General features: G+C 36.9%; 2 long non-coding RNA genes across 2 annotated transcripts in view; one reads left to right on the top strand and one right to left on the bottom strand.

Moving 5' to 3' along the window:
* LOC101927609 (uncharacterized) overlaps positions 1–8,419 on the top strand; it is a 164,409-nt gene extending 155,990 nt beyond the window's left edge. Inside the window, exons 10-12 of the long non-coding RNA XR_007060234.1 lie at positions 4,966–5,039; positions 6,835–7,015; positions 7,797–8,419. This is a non-coding gene — a long non-coding RNA (uncharacterized LOC101927609). The remainder of the gene's footprint in view (positions 1–4,965; positions 5,040–6,834; positions 7,016–7,796) is intronic.
* The window catches only part of LOC107986772 (uncharacterized), a 129,008-nt gene that overhangs the window by 85,481 nt on the left and 26,403 nt on the right, over positions 1–17,124 (bottom strand). The window lies entirely within an intron of this gene.

Genomic DNA, 17,124 nt, shown 5'->3' with positions numbered 1-17,124 from the left:
AAGCACTGTATTGGTTCCATTAGGCCAAAGAACAAAGCTCCTCTTTGAATCTCCTCAATTTAACTTATGTAAAGTATTGAATAAGTGTTGCAATAAATAAATGAGTGATGAAATCAATCAGTGAAACATTTCCAGGAAATACGCTCGTAAGATCTGTCATGTAAATGTGTCCTCAAATGCTAGTAGCTTTTATTTTCTTCTCATACACTTTAGTAGTATTTTGACATTTCATAAACAATCAATACACACTAAGAAATCTCCACCCATGTTTTAAGCACCCAGTGGCTTTTCTTCTAAGACACTAATACTTGGATTAGTTCCTTTTACAGTATTTTAATACTTCCCCATAACATTAGTATGAAACATCCATTCAGCAGAAATGGCTTAAAGAGTTACTCATCTTTCTTTGGGAATTTCCATTTTTTCTTGTTTTAGATGAAAAGTGCCACAAATTTAACTTTCTCACAGTCCTTCACTGTATTTACTCAAAGTATTGTCTAGCATATGAAAGCCAAAACACTTCTAAGCCAATAAATAGCAAAAAACTCAACTGAAATTAGAAAATTCATGATAAAACAAAAAATTAAATGTCAAATAAAAGTTGCTACTCAATATAACTTCAGTGTTTATATTGAACATTGTGAAGAATGTGAAAGTGAAAGTGAAAACACACTTCTTTTTTGTTGGGGCAAGGAGGGGTCTTCTTAGCTTTAGTTACAGGACTGGGGCCTGCAGTTAGCTGCCAGTATTTAATCTAATTTTATGCTTATATTCATTTTGTCTGTCTTCCAAAATTCCAGTGTATTCTGAAAACATTTCCTTTTTTTTTTTTTTTTTTTTTTTTTTTGAGACAGAGTCTCACTCTGTCACCCAGGCTGGAATGCAGTGGCGCGATCTCAGCTCACTGCAACCTTCACCTCCTGGATTCAAGCAATTCTCCTGCCCCAGCCTCCCTAGTATCTGGGATTACAGGTGCCCACCATGAAGCCAGGCTAATTTTTGTATTTTCACTAGAGGTGGGGGTTTTACCATGTTGGCCAGGCTGGCCTCAAACTCCTGACCTCAGGTGATCTGCCTGCTTCGGCCTCCCAAAGTGCTAGGATCACAGGCATGAGCCACTGTACCCAGCCTATTCTGAGTACAGTTCTAAACAAATCTAATAAATACATTCATATTCTTATTAAGTATTTATTAAACATACACAATAGTTCAACATATGCCTAGATGATAAACATATGGCAAACATGGTTCTAAAAGAAAGAAAGAAAGAAAGAAAGAAAGAAAGAAAGAAATCACTAACACATTCATTTTCCAGATAGAATATACCTTTAATTATAATTTGCAAGAACCTAAGAATATAATGTCAATATTGTAACCCATCAGGCAGTAAAAAAATTGATACTAAGGTTTCTAAAATGCCATATGGTTAATTTTATGAAATATGTTTGCATCAGAAATTTCTTTTAAATGGAATTGACTGTGGTAATTGACCACTGTTAAAATGGTATATGATGCATAATTTTTTTGAGACAGACTGTCATTCTCTCGCCCAGGCTGGAGTGCAATGGCACAATCTCGGCTCAATGTAACCTCCACCTCCCAGGTTCAAGCAGTTCTCCTGCCTCAGCCTCCTGAGTAGCTGGGACTAAGATGCATGCCACCACACCTGGCTAATTTTTGTATTTTTAGTAGAGACGTGGTGTCACCGTGTTGGCCAGGCTGGTCTCGAACTCCTGTCCTCAGGTGATCTGCCTGCCTCAGCCTCCCAAAGTGCTAGGATCACAGGTGTGAGCCACTGCACCCAGCCTATGTTGATTATATTTCTAAGCAAATCTAAAATACATTCATATTCTTATTATTTATTGAACATACACAACAGTTCAGCATATGCCTAGATGATAAACATATGGCAAACACAGTTATCTAAAAAAAAAAAAGAAAGAAATCACTGACACATTCATTTTCCAGATAGAATATACCTTTAATTATAATTTGCAAGAGCCTAAGAATATAATGTCAATATTGTAACCCATTAGGAAAATAGTTCGATATGACATATTTTTGCATCAAAAATTACTTTTAAATGGAATTGACTGTGATAATTGACCATTGTTAAAATAGTATATGATGCATTTTTTTTTTTTTTTTTGAGATGGAGTCTCACTCTGTCACCTAGGCTGGAGTGCAATGGCACAATTTCGGCTCACTGCAACCTCTGCCTCCCAGGTTCAAGCAATTCTCCTGCTTCAGCCTCCAGAGTAGCTGGGACTACAGCTGCATGCCACCACACGCAGCTAATTTTTGTATTTTTAGTAGAGACAGGGTGTCATCCTATTGGCGAGGCTGGTCTCAAACTCCTGACCTCAGGTGATCCACCAGCCTCGTCCTCCCAAAGTGCTGGGATTACAGGCATAAGCCACTGCAGCTGGCCTATGATACATAATTTTAAAAGCTGCCTCATTTCATAAGGAAGGCCATGTAATACATAGTTTCTGATCAGCCATCTAATTATTACTAGAAAGCAAAGTTTATAATGCCAGTCAATGTGGAATTTAAGTCTAAGTATTTTCCTAATTATATATCTCTATATATTGAAGTTAGATACTAAGGTTTCTAAAATGCCATAGGGTTATGATTAAAACTAATAACTATATTTTCTGTGACACAAGATGACTCAGGGGCTCTCAGACAATAGCTACTTTGTCTACATTAGTGGCCTCATCATTTCCATTAAATAGCTATTTACATTGTGAAAATGTATGCCGTGATATAATGGCTAGAAATGCATTTGTCTGTTAGAATAAGAAAATCTCTTCTGTAGTAGAGCACTGTCATCTTTATAATCCTAGTGAAAGTCAAATAAAATAAACAGCATCTACTTTAAATCATCTAAGCATAATGTTAGTATTCTGCTGTAACAGAAAAAGGAACTGTTGCATCAGCTATAAATCAAACACCTTCAAGATTCCCATCTGCATTTTTTCAATTTAAAACACTACATTTTACATAACATTTTGGAAACTGAAACGCCAGTTAATTAGGTTCATATGGAATCTATTTATCTAAGTGAGAATTCAAGTCGAACATATTAGAAATAATACTGTATGGGTATAAATGTAGAGATGCTGTTCTTTATTGCTGGCCTCCTCCTTTTCACAGGAGAGATTACTTCAGTAGCTACTGAACTACAGGCATTCTCACTGTTTTAAAAAAAATGCTCCATGAATATATTTTGATGATAGTTATATTCTAGTAAACAGCCTAGAAAATAGTTGTTTTCCAAAATTTAACATTGTCCAGCCAGACACATTCTTAGCAGCACCCAAGATTTTTTTCCACTAAGTGATGGAATATTTGTAAATACTGTTCATGCAGAGTTTATTGCAGCTACAATTCTTAGGAGCAAATAAAGTTTGCCTTGTAGCAAACTGTATTGCCTTGAGGCTCTCTTCTAAGGGGGAGCTTCATGACATCTTTGCCAGAATTTTCCAAGGAAAAAGGAAGTATTTTTTGGGATAGGAGATATAGGCCAACAAAGAATAAGGAGGTTTTTGCTTTTTGTGTTACATTTGCTTCCAGTTGTGGTAGAAAGTCATAGCGCCTTCCTGGAACAATATTTTATAGGACATTGGTGACATTAGATTTTCTGATAGTGTTTGAACGACTGTCCTATAAACTTTCATCAAAAGTCAACCACATTTCCTGTTTATTCATTCACTCACTCATTTATTCATTCCACAAACATTGACCCTGTTACAAGAGACAAATTAGTTAATATCCCTGCCCTGGGAGAATTCAAACTCATCTGTATTCTTTTCCTGTAATCTCTCTTAGCAGCCCAACCAGGCTTTTAAGACATTAGGAGGATAAGAAGCAGTCTCAATTTAGTCCCAACCTGTTAGATCCAACCACAAACCATGTATGTTAAGGTAGTGCTCAGTTTTACAGTCACCTTCAGGAAGCAATTCTGAGAATTAGCACTGTATAGTTTAAGAAACGTTGATTGTTTTTGATGCTTCAGTAAAATAAGCCTCAGAACTGAAACTGAGTCATGTATAAAAATTCAGGTTTTACAGTCAGAGTGCCAGGTTGATCTCACCTATAACCTATTAGCCATTTCTTCTGACACACTCAAGGTCAGGCTTTCTCCTTTCACTTAGACACTCAAACTTCAAACTAATGTGCACAGAGTCACCTGATAAAAAATATGGATTTCTGGGCCCCATAGCTTATGAAGTGAATCATAATCAAGGGTTGGGCCTAGTCACAGTCATTGGCTTTTTTATTTGCTCCAGAGACAAGTATGCACACTATCGTTTGAAATCTAGACCTAGAGAGACAACTGAGATGACCTCTTAACCCAATCATGTTAATATTTCATCCAATTTGCCTTAGATAGCTTTGTTAAAATAATCAAAAGTCTTTGGTGGCTATTTTTAAGGACTTCAATAAATATAGATCTAGCCAAATTTTTTACTTATTGCTTACTCCTGACCTACCCCAAACCTGTGCTGGATTAGTTCATGTTTCTTAACTATCACTATTACCTCCCCGCTCTAGCTTTGCTCAGCATGTTCCCTTCTTCTTGTCAACTTTTTAATCAGTCCAACCCAAATGGTCTCTCCTCCTTGAGACTTAGCCTGGTTCCCTCAAGGAGACACACTTTCTCTTTCCTTTGAGGTCATCAAACCCTTTATTTTATGATAGTGATCATATTTTACCTTATAGTTACATTTATATTTGTCATTCTCCCTTTAGACTGTAAAGTTCTAAAGTAAAGAATATCATGTCTTGCTGTAGTTGATAATATGTTCAACTGAAAAGTAGAACAATTAATGCTCTTTTCATCTTTGATGTTAGCAGAAATCATCTGTATGTTCTGCTGCGATCAAAGACTAAGCATTAACTGTTCTACATCTCAGGTGAGTATAAATTAAGTATAAATTGTGCTTTTATTTATTCCAGTCATCTCATGATCAGATATGTTGCCATTTATAGGATGTTTGTATTCCTGCTTTTCTCCAATATACTAAATATTGGTAGGTATACTCTATTACGTACTTCTCACTGTTTTTTTAATGTATAATGCTTATGAAATCTTGATATAAAGGAGAACTGTGAAAGGATTGGGAATCAGGGAATTCATGTGTTAAAATCATGCTAATATAGTTTTAGCACATTGCTTGTAACATATCTCTCAATGGAGGGTGAAAAAGAATCTATTCTTTAAAAAGTTAGTAATTAGCTTTTTTTCTAATGAATTTCAATTAAAACCCCCCTTTTGTATAAATATTGAATGAAAGTACTCTGGAAGTGATTGTTTAATGTAGAGGGAAATAAAGCAGATGACAGAATGAGTTGACGGCCCAATATAGGAAAGAATTAAGCAGAAATTATAGACTAGAAACAGGAAATGTATTAAAAGAAAAGCAAAAAGCAGTAAGAAATTGCTTAGAGGAACAGATCTACGGAAACCAATGTTTATAGATGACATTTTTAGTTCTGCACTGTTATATTAGTCATAAAAAATATTTCTCAAAATAACTGAGTTTTTCACTCTTGAATTTTCTTTATTTTTCCCTAAAATCTTAATAAATCTAAAAAATTAACAAAAGGTGTAGTTCAAAGAACTGAAAGTGTCAAGGAAGTCCTATAAATGAGACTAAGCGAAGAGACATTTTAAAAAGAAATTGGAAAAGAAAAAACAAAGTTACATTTAACTTGCTACATAAACATTTTTGATAATATTTTCTTGAGCTTCAAAGTAGATTTTTAAAATCAGTAGTTATTAAGATTTATTTATATTATAGGTAGGTAGCTGGGGAATTTGGAAACTAATGTCTCATAATGGCATATTACTAGCTGGTGCTTTCTTACAAAGTGAGAGAAGAAATACAATAATATTATTATCTCTTCTGCTCACAAATAGGTTTGTAAGTTATTGATGAAATTATGGCATTCAGCCCCTAAGGAAGACATAATTGGATGTGGACCAGAAGATAAACACAAACATTTCCATATTCTTTAAAAGAAACTCTGTGTACATGTATTGGATTTCCATTGCTTCTATAACAAATGAGTATACATATTGTGTTTAAGACAATGCAAATTTATTATCTTATGGTTCTTTACATGAGAAGTATTATATAAGTCTCCCTGAACTAAAATTATGATGTCCTGACAATACCAATTGCTGGCAAAGATGCAAAGCGACAAGAACTCTCAATCATTGCTGGCAGATACACAAAATAATATGGCCAATTTGCAAGACAGTTTTGAAGTTTCTTACAAAGTTTAACATGGTTTCACCATACAATCCAACAATCAAGTTCCTACTATTTCCCTAACTTATCTGAAGATTTATGTCCACACAAATACTTGCACATGAATTTCTACTGCAGCTTTATTTGTAATTGCAAAACAATGGGAAACAATACAAATGTCCTTCAATAAGTAAATGTAAATGGATAAACCAGAAGTGGTACACCCACTCAATAGGATACTATTCAATGATTTTAAGAAATGAGCTATCAAGCTATGCAGAGGCATGGAAATCTTAAATACGTACTGTTAAGTGAAAGCAACCAGTCTGAAAATGCTACATATTATATAATTCCATTCATATGATATTATGGAAGAAAAATTATAAAGATAATAGATCAGTGGTGCTAGGGACTAAAGAGTGGTTACATAGGTGAAACAGGAGTTTTGGGGGTGGATAAACCATCATATATGGAACTAAAATGATGGCTCTATGACACTGTACCCACAGAACTTTATAGCAGAAAAAAACTCACCATTAAATATATGTATTTTTTTAAATCACTTAAATAGTTGTGGGATCACATGATCAAATGAAGATTATGACAGAAGAATCTAACTGTATTACAAATGTGTGAAACAGCCTTGTTGAAAGGAGTCGGGGTAAAGTGCTGACCTAATTAACCTTGGAAATAAGATGTGCAAGAATAAGGTTAACAGACCTCAACGCAAGCACTGTGCTGTAGTTGATAAAGTGAGTTGATAAAGTCGTTTTTCTTGGGGGTATGAGTAATAAATCTGAAACCTCTATATAAGTATACGTGAATTGAACAGTTCAGTAAAATGGATGGTGAGCAGTGGGAGCCAAGTTTGTCAATATTCGAGTCTGAGGTTAGAGATAGGGAAGGGCAGGAACGTAGAATGATCCATGTGGTAATGGACTGGAGTTGTAGGCATCTGTATGGTCTCATTTTCTGCCTAATCTAGACAAATATAGTTACACATGAAATATTTAAGTATATATATACACAAGTTAGTATACTCATATTTTATTACTCTGCTAGCTGAGGAGGCCTTAGAAGCAACAATTCCCTAGTAGCAATGAGTACATCTAACCCAGATCTTGATTTCTAATACTGTTCACCAACAAAAGTAACCAGAATTTCTTGGAAAGAAAGAGTGACTGATTTCAGTAACACAGCAGGAAATTTATAAGATGAGCCTGGAGCATTTTGTAGTACCAGAAGTTAAAGAAGTGCTTGAAATATACAAAACACATTGATGATGGTATGTCAAAAGGACATAGGTGCCAACTGAAACAACACGCAATGGCCAAAGCTAGAACAATTTGAGCAGCAAAATATAGTAACAAATGGTAAACCAAAGTGTAAGTAAACACGCAGTCCATATACTAAAAATAATTGAATAAATGGAAGAGAATAGACAAACATCCCATGTAGAAAAATTCCAAATAACTTGTGTAGATACTCTACATTCAAGAAGTCAGAACATAACTCCCCACTCCTTCCATGCAGGCTGTACATAGTGGCTTCCTTTTAAAGAGTATAACGTGGAAAGATTGAAAAAGAGTAACTTTACAGTGGAGAAAATGGACAACGATGTTGCAGCCAGGCAATCCACGGTAATATCAGCAGTGACAAGGTATGCTGACAGGATGCACTCTCCTTGGTATTTAAGGAAAGATTGTTATCCACCCAAAAGCCCATAACCCCCTTTTAACCACAAGGTTAAACATCAGGCCACTTCACTAGATGCACGTTCTCAGCTTGTGCCCATCTCAAGTACCATCACTGTGGTCTCGCCTGGTACTCTTTTTGTTTTTTTTTCCCACAGTGGCCAGACAGGCCCTTTTCCGATTCTCCATACACACTTGAGAGTGGATTGTAATGTTGAACAAGGAAGAGAGATAGGAAAAAAAAAAAAAAAAACTATGCAGCCTAGAACATTGCTTCTAAACATGTCCATGCTCACAGATCTGCCGGGGTCAGACTCCTCATAGATGCAGCTCACCTGACTTCTCAGGAAGCCCTCAGATGAGTTTCACTAGTGATGGGGCAAATTGAAACTGCTACATATTGAGAATGGGAACTGGCTCAGAGAGTGTGGATTTCTCTCTTGAAGTCTGGTTTTCACTCTGTCATTGACTGAATATAAATGTGTCTTGATTTTCTGTGTGCACCAAAGAATACTTCCCCAACAGTTCACTCTGCAGCTTTCTGTCAGTGAAAACCCAGACCAACAATTAAGAAAATGTCCCACAAAGGGAATTAATGAGAAGAGTTTCCTCCTTTCTTGGCTCCAGAAAACCTGGCCCAAGAGAGCTGTGTCAATAAGTCTCATACATTTCGGTTTCTTTTGGTGGGGGTGGCAGGAAGGATGTTGGTATATTTGTTTTCTATTGCTGCTATAACAAATTATCATAAACTTGGTGCTTAAAATGGCATGACTTTATTATAGTTTTGAAGGTGAGGAGTCTAAAATCTGTTTCACCAGGCCAAAAGTCAAGGTGGTCAGCAGGCCTGGGTTCCTTGTGGAGACTCTGTGAGCAAATCTATTTTCTTGCCTTTTCCAGCCTATTCTAGAGGCTGCCTGCATTTCTTGGCTCGGGGCTGCCTTTCTCCATCTTCAAAGCCAGCAACAGAAGGGCCCCACCTTCTCAATGCTGCTGCCATGTCTGATTCTCTTCAGCTGGCTAACTCTTTCCTTTAAAGGACTCATATGATTAGATTGGGCCTACCTGGGTAATCCCAGCTACTCTCCCCATCTGTAGGTTCTTAACCTTAATGACATATGCAAAGTACCTTTTGCCATGTAAGATAACATTCACAAGTTCTTAGAATTACAGCATAGTTATCGTTGGGGGCCACTGTTTTGCTATCACACTGCAGCATTTTAGATTTAAATACATCTGCAATTACTCCCTGCTTATCACCTCCCACAGGCCTTTCAAACACATAATCCACAAAATTAGCCTTCCACCTGATGTGCTTCTTCCTTGTTTGCAGGTATCATCTCCATCCAACAACCTAGTTTACAGATTGAGAATAGTTTTCTGTAATCCTTCATTAGATTGGCAAATCTGCTGATTTTAATTCCTAAATATCTTTCCAATCATTTCATTTTTAAAATAAAATTTTAAAAATTTTGTATTTTGTATATTTAAATTTGTGTATTTTGTATATTTAAATTATGCAAGATAGCATTGAGATACATATATAGTAGAATGGTTATTATAGTGAAACAAATTAACGTATCCATCACCTGACATAGTTACTCTTTTTTTTTTGTCTATGGCAAGAACAGCTATAATCTCTCATTTAGCAAAAATAATGAATGCCATATACTATTATTAACTATAGTCCTCATGTTATACCTTAGATTTTTAGGCTTGTTCATGCTACATATCTTCTATCTTGTATCCTTTGACCTATATCTCCCCATTTCCTCCTTCCCACCTTGCCCTGGTAACCATTGTTTTATTCTTTATCTGTATCATTGACCTTTTTTATTCCATGTATAACTAAGATCACGCAATATTTTTCTTTTCTGTCTGGCTTATTTCATTTAATATGTTTTCCAGGTACATTCATGTTATGGCAAATGACAGGATCTCCCTTTTAAAGGTGGAATAATATTCCATTGTGTATGTATACATGTATATACACACCACAGTTTATCCATTCATTTGGCGATAGACACCCAGGTTGTTTCTATATCTTGATTATTGTGGCTAATGCTGTAATAAACATGAGAGTGCAGGTATCTTTACAAGGTAGTGATTTCATTTCTTCTGGGTCATATTTCCCCAATCTATCCCTGCCTTGCATCTCCCCTACAACAAACTACCCTCATGTAGTTTCCATTTTCCTCAATAGAAAGTATTTCTTGGTTAATGGTGTCTGACATTCATTAGCTGGTGAAGCTGCTAATGAGACTGATGTACCTGTTTGATTCACTCTGATGGGCTTACAGTCCAGCATAGAAAACACAGATTAAACAAATACATATGGGAATGTCCTGGGAGAAGACATTGTTGATCTTTCTAATCATGTATTCCCGATTCAGTTTTCAAACATTGAGGTCCAAAATTTATGACTCTCTAGAGAGATGACATCATGCCAACTAACAGAAAGCAGTCAAGAGTAATTGTGTGTGTGTGTGAGAGAACGTGTATGTGTGTGTGTGAGTGCATGTGTGCCTGTGAGCATGTGCGTGTGAGAGGGAGAGAGGACTTTTCCCTGATTCTGAAATACAAAAATAGAAAATAAGACTGTTAAATGTTAAATATGGCAACTTACTTTTAATAAGATCAAACAAAAATGGACTTCAAAGCCTATCTTGATCACTTGTTGAAATGGAGTTAAATTACAGATTTTAATGCCTCACACTAGATTGAATGAATCAGAATGCCTGGGATGGGGCCTGGAAATATGCATCTTAAACAAGCAGTCCATGAGTTTGTTGTGCACATTAGTATTAGGGAATTATTAAGCCAATTTCAACTCACCAATACTCCATTCCTTGCATTTTCCAGCTTTCAGCTTCTGCAGGCTGCCCGCATTCCTCGGCCCGTGGCCCCTTTCCACGCTCAAGTCGCATCCTACTGACTTTCCCATCGACATAGCACTCATTGGCCATAGCTGGCAAAGTTTCTCTGCTTTTAAAGACTGGGGTGACTAGATTGGTCCCACCTGGATATTCTAGTCTAATCCTCTCACTTCAAGGTTCTTAATTTAATCACCTCTGCAAAGTCCCTTTTGCCATCTAAAGTAATATATTCATAGTTTCCATGGATTGGGAGGTGAACAAAGTGGGTGGAGGGGGACATGGTTCTTCCTACCAGACTACACACTATATCTGTAGAACCTTGTCTCAGCTGCTACACATTAACCACCCTGTTAATCATTCCTACATTCTTTTTACCCAGGTGAAAATGAGAGTAAAGAGAAAACTTTCAGAAAGCATGCTGAAAAGACTTTACCACTCAACACTCCATCCCAAATGGAGCTTTACACTCAAAGGGAAAACACACTTTCCAATATTCTACTAGCCCTCTATTTGACTTCTAATCCTAATAAATATTTAACTTAATATACAAGTGTAAATGGCTAACAGCTTCATAGTTGGTAATTCTAGGTGCTTCATATGGCTGTAAGAACTTAGGATATTTATTGTCATAAGTTATCAAATATCTGTCGTGTGTTGGATATCATATAGAGATAATAGCTTGTGTTACAGTAGATGGGCACTTTAATTTGGATTATTATCTTTATACTTATATCCTACAATCAGCACAAAATCAAGCACGAAGACTATCACACAGAGTCTACAATCCTTATTTTAACATAATCTTATCCTGATGTACATTGCCATCGGCTTTTAAATGTCTGAGCCTTATTTGCTTGTGTTCCATTCGTGACATAGGTTTTTGTTGTTTGTATTAATTTTAGAAACTCACTAAGAAGTTGTGGAATGAAGCATAAAAAATATTAAACTTCAGATGATGAATTTTTTTGAGAGAACAGTTTAACGAGACAGAGCAAGGGTAAAAAAATAAAGGCATGTGGCTTAAGACATGCTTTATTCTCAACAAACTGCCTGAGGGATCTTTGTTTTTGTTTTTGTTTTGTTTTGTTTTATAGAGATGGTGTCTCACTATGTTGCCCAGGCTGGTCTTGAACTCCTGGCCTCAACTGAGTCTCTCACCTCAGCCTTCCAAGGTGCTGGGCATGAGCCGATATTCCCAGCCCAACCAGAGTTCTTTTAGGGAAGAAGTAACTCCTGACACTTGGAAGATACCACAGTCAAAGCAATAGAAATGATAGCGCAAAGAAGTAAAAACTTCCAACCTCACGGCAGGCTCCTTGTTCTTCACAAAGTTCCAGCTCTCCACTTAGGAAGCTACATAATGACATACTGTTTTCATCACACATGCCTGCTCAGAGATAAACAAACCAGTCCTGATGTGCATTCATGGAAAGATCGCCGTATTTTCAATTTGGTCTTTTCTGCTTAGTGTTAAGAAGATTAATGAGATGTGTGTTGGTTGGTTTCTGTTGGAAGTTTTGTGAGGCAAGTGCAAAGAAGTGTGCAGCTACACTTCCTATAACCCACGAGCACCAAAGCAAATTAAATTAATATCAGGAAGTATTCGAACAAAGATATTTTTCTAAATGAAGTGTTCTGAAATAACATTATCATGTTCCAAAAATCATTACGCTGAGCCCTAATCTGACATTTTACCACGTAAAGATCTCTGCTGAGAAACATAAAAGAATGGGCTAACAAATTCTACTGCCACATCAGTTTCATTTTGTTATAAATCTCTCTAAACCTACCCCATGTCATCTAAAAGCATATTTGGAGAGAGGAATATGTTACACCTGTCTATTAAACAAGATACCAGAAATTTTCCCCCACATACATTGCTTAATTAAAGCTCAGATGTCTTTCCCAGGGCTGACTGTATTATTAGAGAATGCTTTTAGTAGATTCTCACATAGTTGGTAAAGGAATCTGGATGTTGACCTAGCTGTGATGTAACAGTAGCAACAGAGGGTGTCAGACAGCAGGGTCAATTTAACAAGGAAACACAGCTCATGTTACCAAAGGGTTTCTGTGTTTGCACACAATTCCTCTGGTGACTTCTCAGGCAAGCACCTCCGTAGACATCCTTTTTAACCCCCTGTGGTGTTTCTGATACTTAGCTGAGTAACAGAAATAAACAGAAATCTCTTCATTTTCTCTCTCCCTGACCCTAACCCCTCATGCTGCATGCAAAAGTATAATGTAGCATATTAGAAAGAAAAAATATCAAAATTTCGGGAGAAGAAATTGATTCAGCAAAGCTGAGTAGAGGCTAGGGAATGAGAGAGAAAGATCACAGTAAACTTACCTATTACGAACCTTCAAGAGAATGTAGATGCCTATTAAACTGGCATCTCTACTCCTAACTCTTGCGTGTCCAAATCTATTCTTCCAACTGCCATTAAACATTCACAGGTAGAAGTCCTATAACAGATATTTATCCACAAGCTAAAATAATTATTTTTTCTCCTATTAATTTTTTTTCTATTTATCCTATTTCAGTCACTTTTATCATCTTTCTTCCCAGGTTGGACATCTTGGAACCATCTTTTACTTTAAGGCAAAATGTTTATGGGACTATTAATTTCTTCTAGGTGTTGTTCAAATTTTCGTAGTTTAGGCCCATTCCAAGAGCTTAATAACTTCACAATTGAGCTTAATATAGTAGACCAAACTGGGAAGACTTATAAAAAAAAAAACACTTAAAAACATAAAATAAAGTTTCAGAAGTACTGAAACTATTTAGAGGTGGTTGGGAAGTGAAAACAAAAGTCATCAATATCAATTATATTGAAGATGTTTTTAAGATGTTGGCATTCTTCACACATGCAAGTACCTTTGTTATTTTAAGATATAAACCCCTCTAACAGCTGTTTCCTTTTTTTTAATAGTTTATACTCCTCTGAAGACTTTACCAAAATCCTTAAATATAATTGCCATAATGACATTGCTTTAGGGTATATATAATTCTTTACTCACATAAATCCGTCTTTGTTTGTGATCTGCACTCCTCTAATGCAGATCACTTAGACAAGTGTCTCCCTGTTCAAGAAAGCAGCAGGCAGAAAGCAACTGTGTCATTCACTTCCTAGCCACCATCCTCACTGGGCATGTCTCTCAGCCCGTTTTCTGTTCCTTGTAACAGAACACCTGATACTGGGTAACTTATCAAGAAAATATTTTTATAGTTATGGAGGCTGAGAAATCCCAAGGTCAAGGGGCCACATCTGGTGAGGGTCTTCTTGCTGGTGGGGATTCCCTGCAGAGTCCTGAGGCAGTGCAGGGCATCACACGGCGAGGGGGCTGAGGTGCCAGATCAGTTCTCTCCTCTTCTTATAAAGGCACCAGTCCCATTCCCACAATAACTGTTTAATCCGTTAACCTCCTAAACCATTAATGCATGAGTGGATTAGTCCATTCACGAGGTCAGAGCCCTCATGACCCAATCACCTCTTAAAGGCCTCACCTCTCAATACTGCCACATCTGGGATTAAGTTTCAACATGAGTTTTAGAGGGGACAAATACTCAAACCACAGAAGCATCTCTGCCATTTTACCTCTTCTATGAGATGAAGATCCATTAAAACAATTTGGTCTTTATTCAAAGAAGGGTGACCATGTTGCTGTGCTGCCCTCAAGGACAGAGCAAGTGAAAATAGCCCAAACGATGGAATAAAACTTCCAAATTTTATTTGCATTTTAAAGATAGTTTTCCACATCGGTATTTCAACATTTAGCCTATTTTTGCTTTGCAGTGTGATACAAATATACCTGGAAGCAAAGAGATGGCCAAATTGTTCTCTCAATAGTCCTTCCTTTCTACTGATTTCCTGCAACTATTGATGTTACTGGAGATGGTTAATATCAAATGGCATTATGGGACCTATGGCACACAATAAAAAGTATTAGTTTGGCCAGGCACGGTGGCTCACGCCTGTAATCTCAGCACTTTGGGAGGCCAAGGCAGGTGGATCACGAGGTCAGGAGATCGAGACCATCCTGGCTAACACGGTGAAACCCCATCTCTACTAAAAATACAAAAAAATTAGCCGGGCATGGTGGCAGTGGCCTGTAGTCCCAGCTACTCAGGGGTCTGAGTCAGGAGAATGGCGTGAACCCGGGAGGCAGAGCTTGCAGTAAGCGGAGATCGCACCACTACATTCCAGCCCGAGTGACAGAGTGAGACTCTGTCTCAAAAAAAAAAAAAAAAAAAAAGTGTTAGTTTGCCAAGAGCAGATTCAATAATTCTGTTTCCTTGTAGCATACGGGCACATTTATCCTACATTGGAGAAGGCTAGTGCAGTCTACCATGTGGACAAACATGTATTATCTTGGATTCTGGGAGAGCATCTGTCTAGGGTGAAGCAAAAGGCAGGACGTGAAGGGAAGTATCTCTTCCACGCCACAGGGGAAGACAAAAAGAAAAAAGAGAAGGATAAAAATGGAGCGTGGCTTAACAGATTTGCAATTTATTATCTGATTTCATCTATTTTCCATACTGTGTCCTTATTCCAATGACCTATTTTATATCTTTTCAGAGCATGATAAAAGTGTCATATCTAATGATGCAAGATGGTAAACAGCACTCTTCTCACTTGTCCAAGACATGTGAATGCTGATTTTTTCCCAGACAATTTAGTTACACTGCATGGAGAAGAAAGAACATTTCTTTAGTTCTTTTCACTTAGATGGAAAGATACAGCCAAAATGTTTCCTTGGTGCCCAACAAAAAGCAGCCAAAAAGTTTTTTTTTACAATGCCTTTTTGCACATCCTCTTTCAGCTGTTACATCATTAGAAGGTTCGAACACTACAAAATCAGCAATTAAAGAGCCACATAAAATTGCATCAAGATGCTGATCGATTCTAGGTTGCTAAGAAACATAAACTGTATCCTTTGATGACGTTACCATACTGCAAATATGCCCAAACCCATACATATCTCATAATCTCAGGATAATCCAAATTCATCAGTGTCACCGCCAATATTGGCCTTAATGCCAAAACTGCAATTATAGCGAACCTAAGGGAAGATCTACCATATAAGAAGCTACTACCATATAATTCTCTAATACTGAAATAGAAAGAATAAAGCCTATGAGTGTTCAAATGGGCATCAGTGGGACACAAACAGCTTAACTCAATGTAATCCAAGCTTCAGCTCCTTTTGCGCTGGTCTTTTGACTCTTTTATTTCCTTGTAACTACTGACCTTTCCACATTTGACCATGAACTACAGCTAACCTTCCACCCACTCATACTGCTTTTCTTCCTCTGCTACAATGTATGGTCTAACATACATGTTTTCCAATAAATGAGCCCTCCTTCCTCTTTAGTATTACCAACTTTTGCTTGTACTTAGAGCCTCATGAAATACTACTATCAGATCAGATTTGAAGTCTGTTGAATCAGTTTTCATTAAGAAGTATGTAAGGCTGGTATCAATGAAGTAACAGAATCATAAAATACTGAAAGACTATCATTTGTTTAGGACCAAATTAGACCTCGTGATACTGTAATGACTGGTTTCTTCAGTAAAGGACGTTAGTGTCCTGCTGGGGAATCCAGACAAACAAATAAGATGTGAAGCAAGACAGAATAGTCATGAGTCAAATGGTATAGTCCAGAGTTCTCATGCTATTTAAGTTAAAAAAAAAAAGTGGTGGGAGGGTCTGAAACTTTTAGACAAAGTGCAACAAAGTGGAGTGTAAGCTAGGAAATCAAGAAACAGTTTGGTATTGTTAAAAAGAAAGAAAATGAATATCCCAAGCAACATGAACATTATGAGCAAAGGTAAAGAGGTGAGAATAATCATCTTGAGTTATCAGAGCACTCAGAAGACATGTGTGCTTCTCCTTGTGCTTAGTGTCTCATAAAATACTTTCAGATCAGACTGCAAGTCTGTTGAATCATTTTCATAAAGCAATATGTGAGGCTGATATAAATGAAGTAAATGAATCACAAAGTACCGAAAAACTACCATTTGTTTAGGATCATGTTGGACCTGGTGTGTGACCTGCATCTGGATAATGGTTGCAAGTGAGCTTGAATGTGTAAGATGAGGCCTGACTCTTGATTAAGTTTTGTTGAAAACAGAGGTCATTTTAGCCTAAGGTAATAGAAGCCTTTATAACAGATAAACTTCACAATCTCTGTGACTTAACATAACAGATATTTATTTCTTGCTTCTGTAAAGTTGAAATCAGGTGTTTCTGTACAGAGACATTGGAGGTAAGTCTGTATTTAGGCTGATTAAA

The sequence above is a fragment of the Homo sapiens genome, chromosome 7 (genome assembly GCF_000001405.40).
Source record: "Homo sapiens chromosome 7, GRCh38.p14 Primary Assembly".
Taxonomy (NCBI): domain Eukaryota; kingdom Metazoa; phylum Chordata; class Mammalia; order Primates; family Hominidae; genus Homo; species Homo sapiens.
The sequence above is the reverse complement of the archived record's forward strand: the minus strand, read 5'-3'. Positions and strand labels throughout refer to the sequence as shown.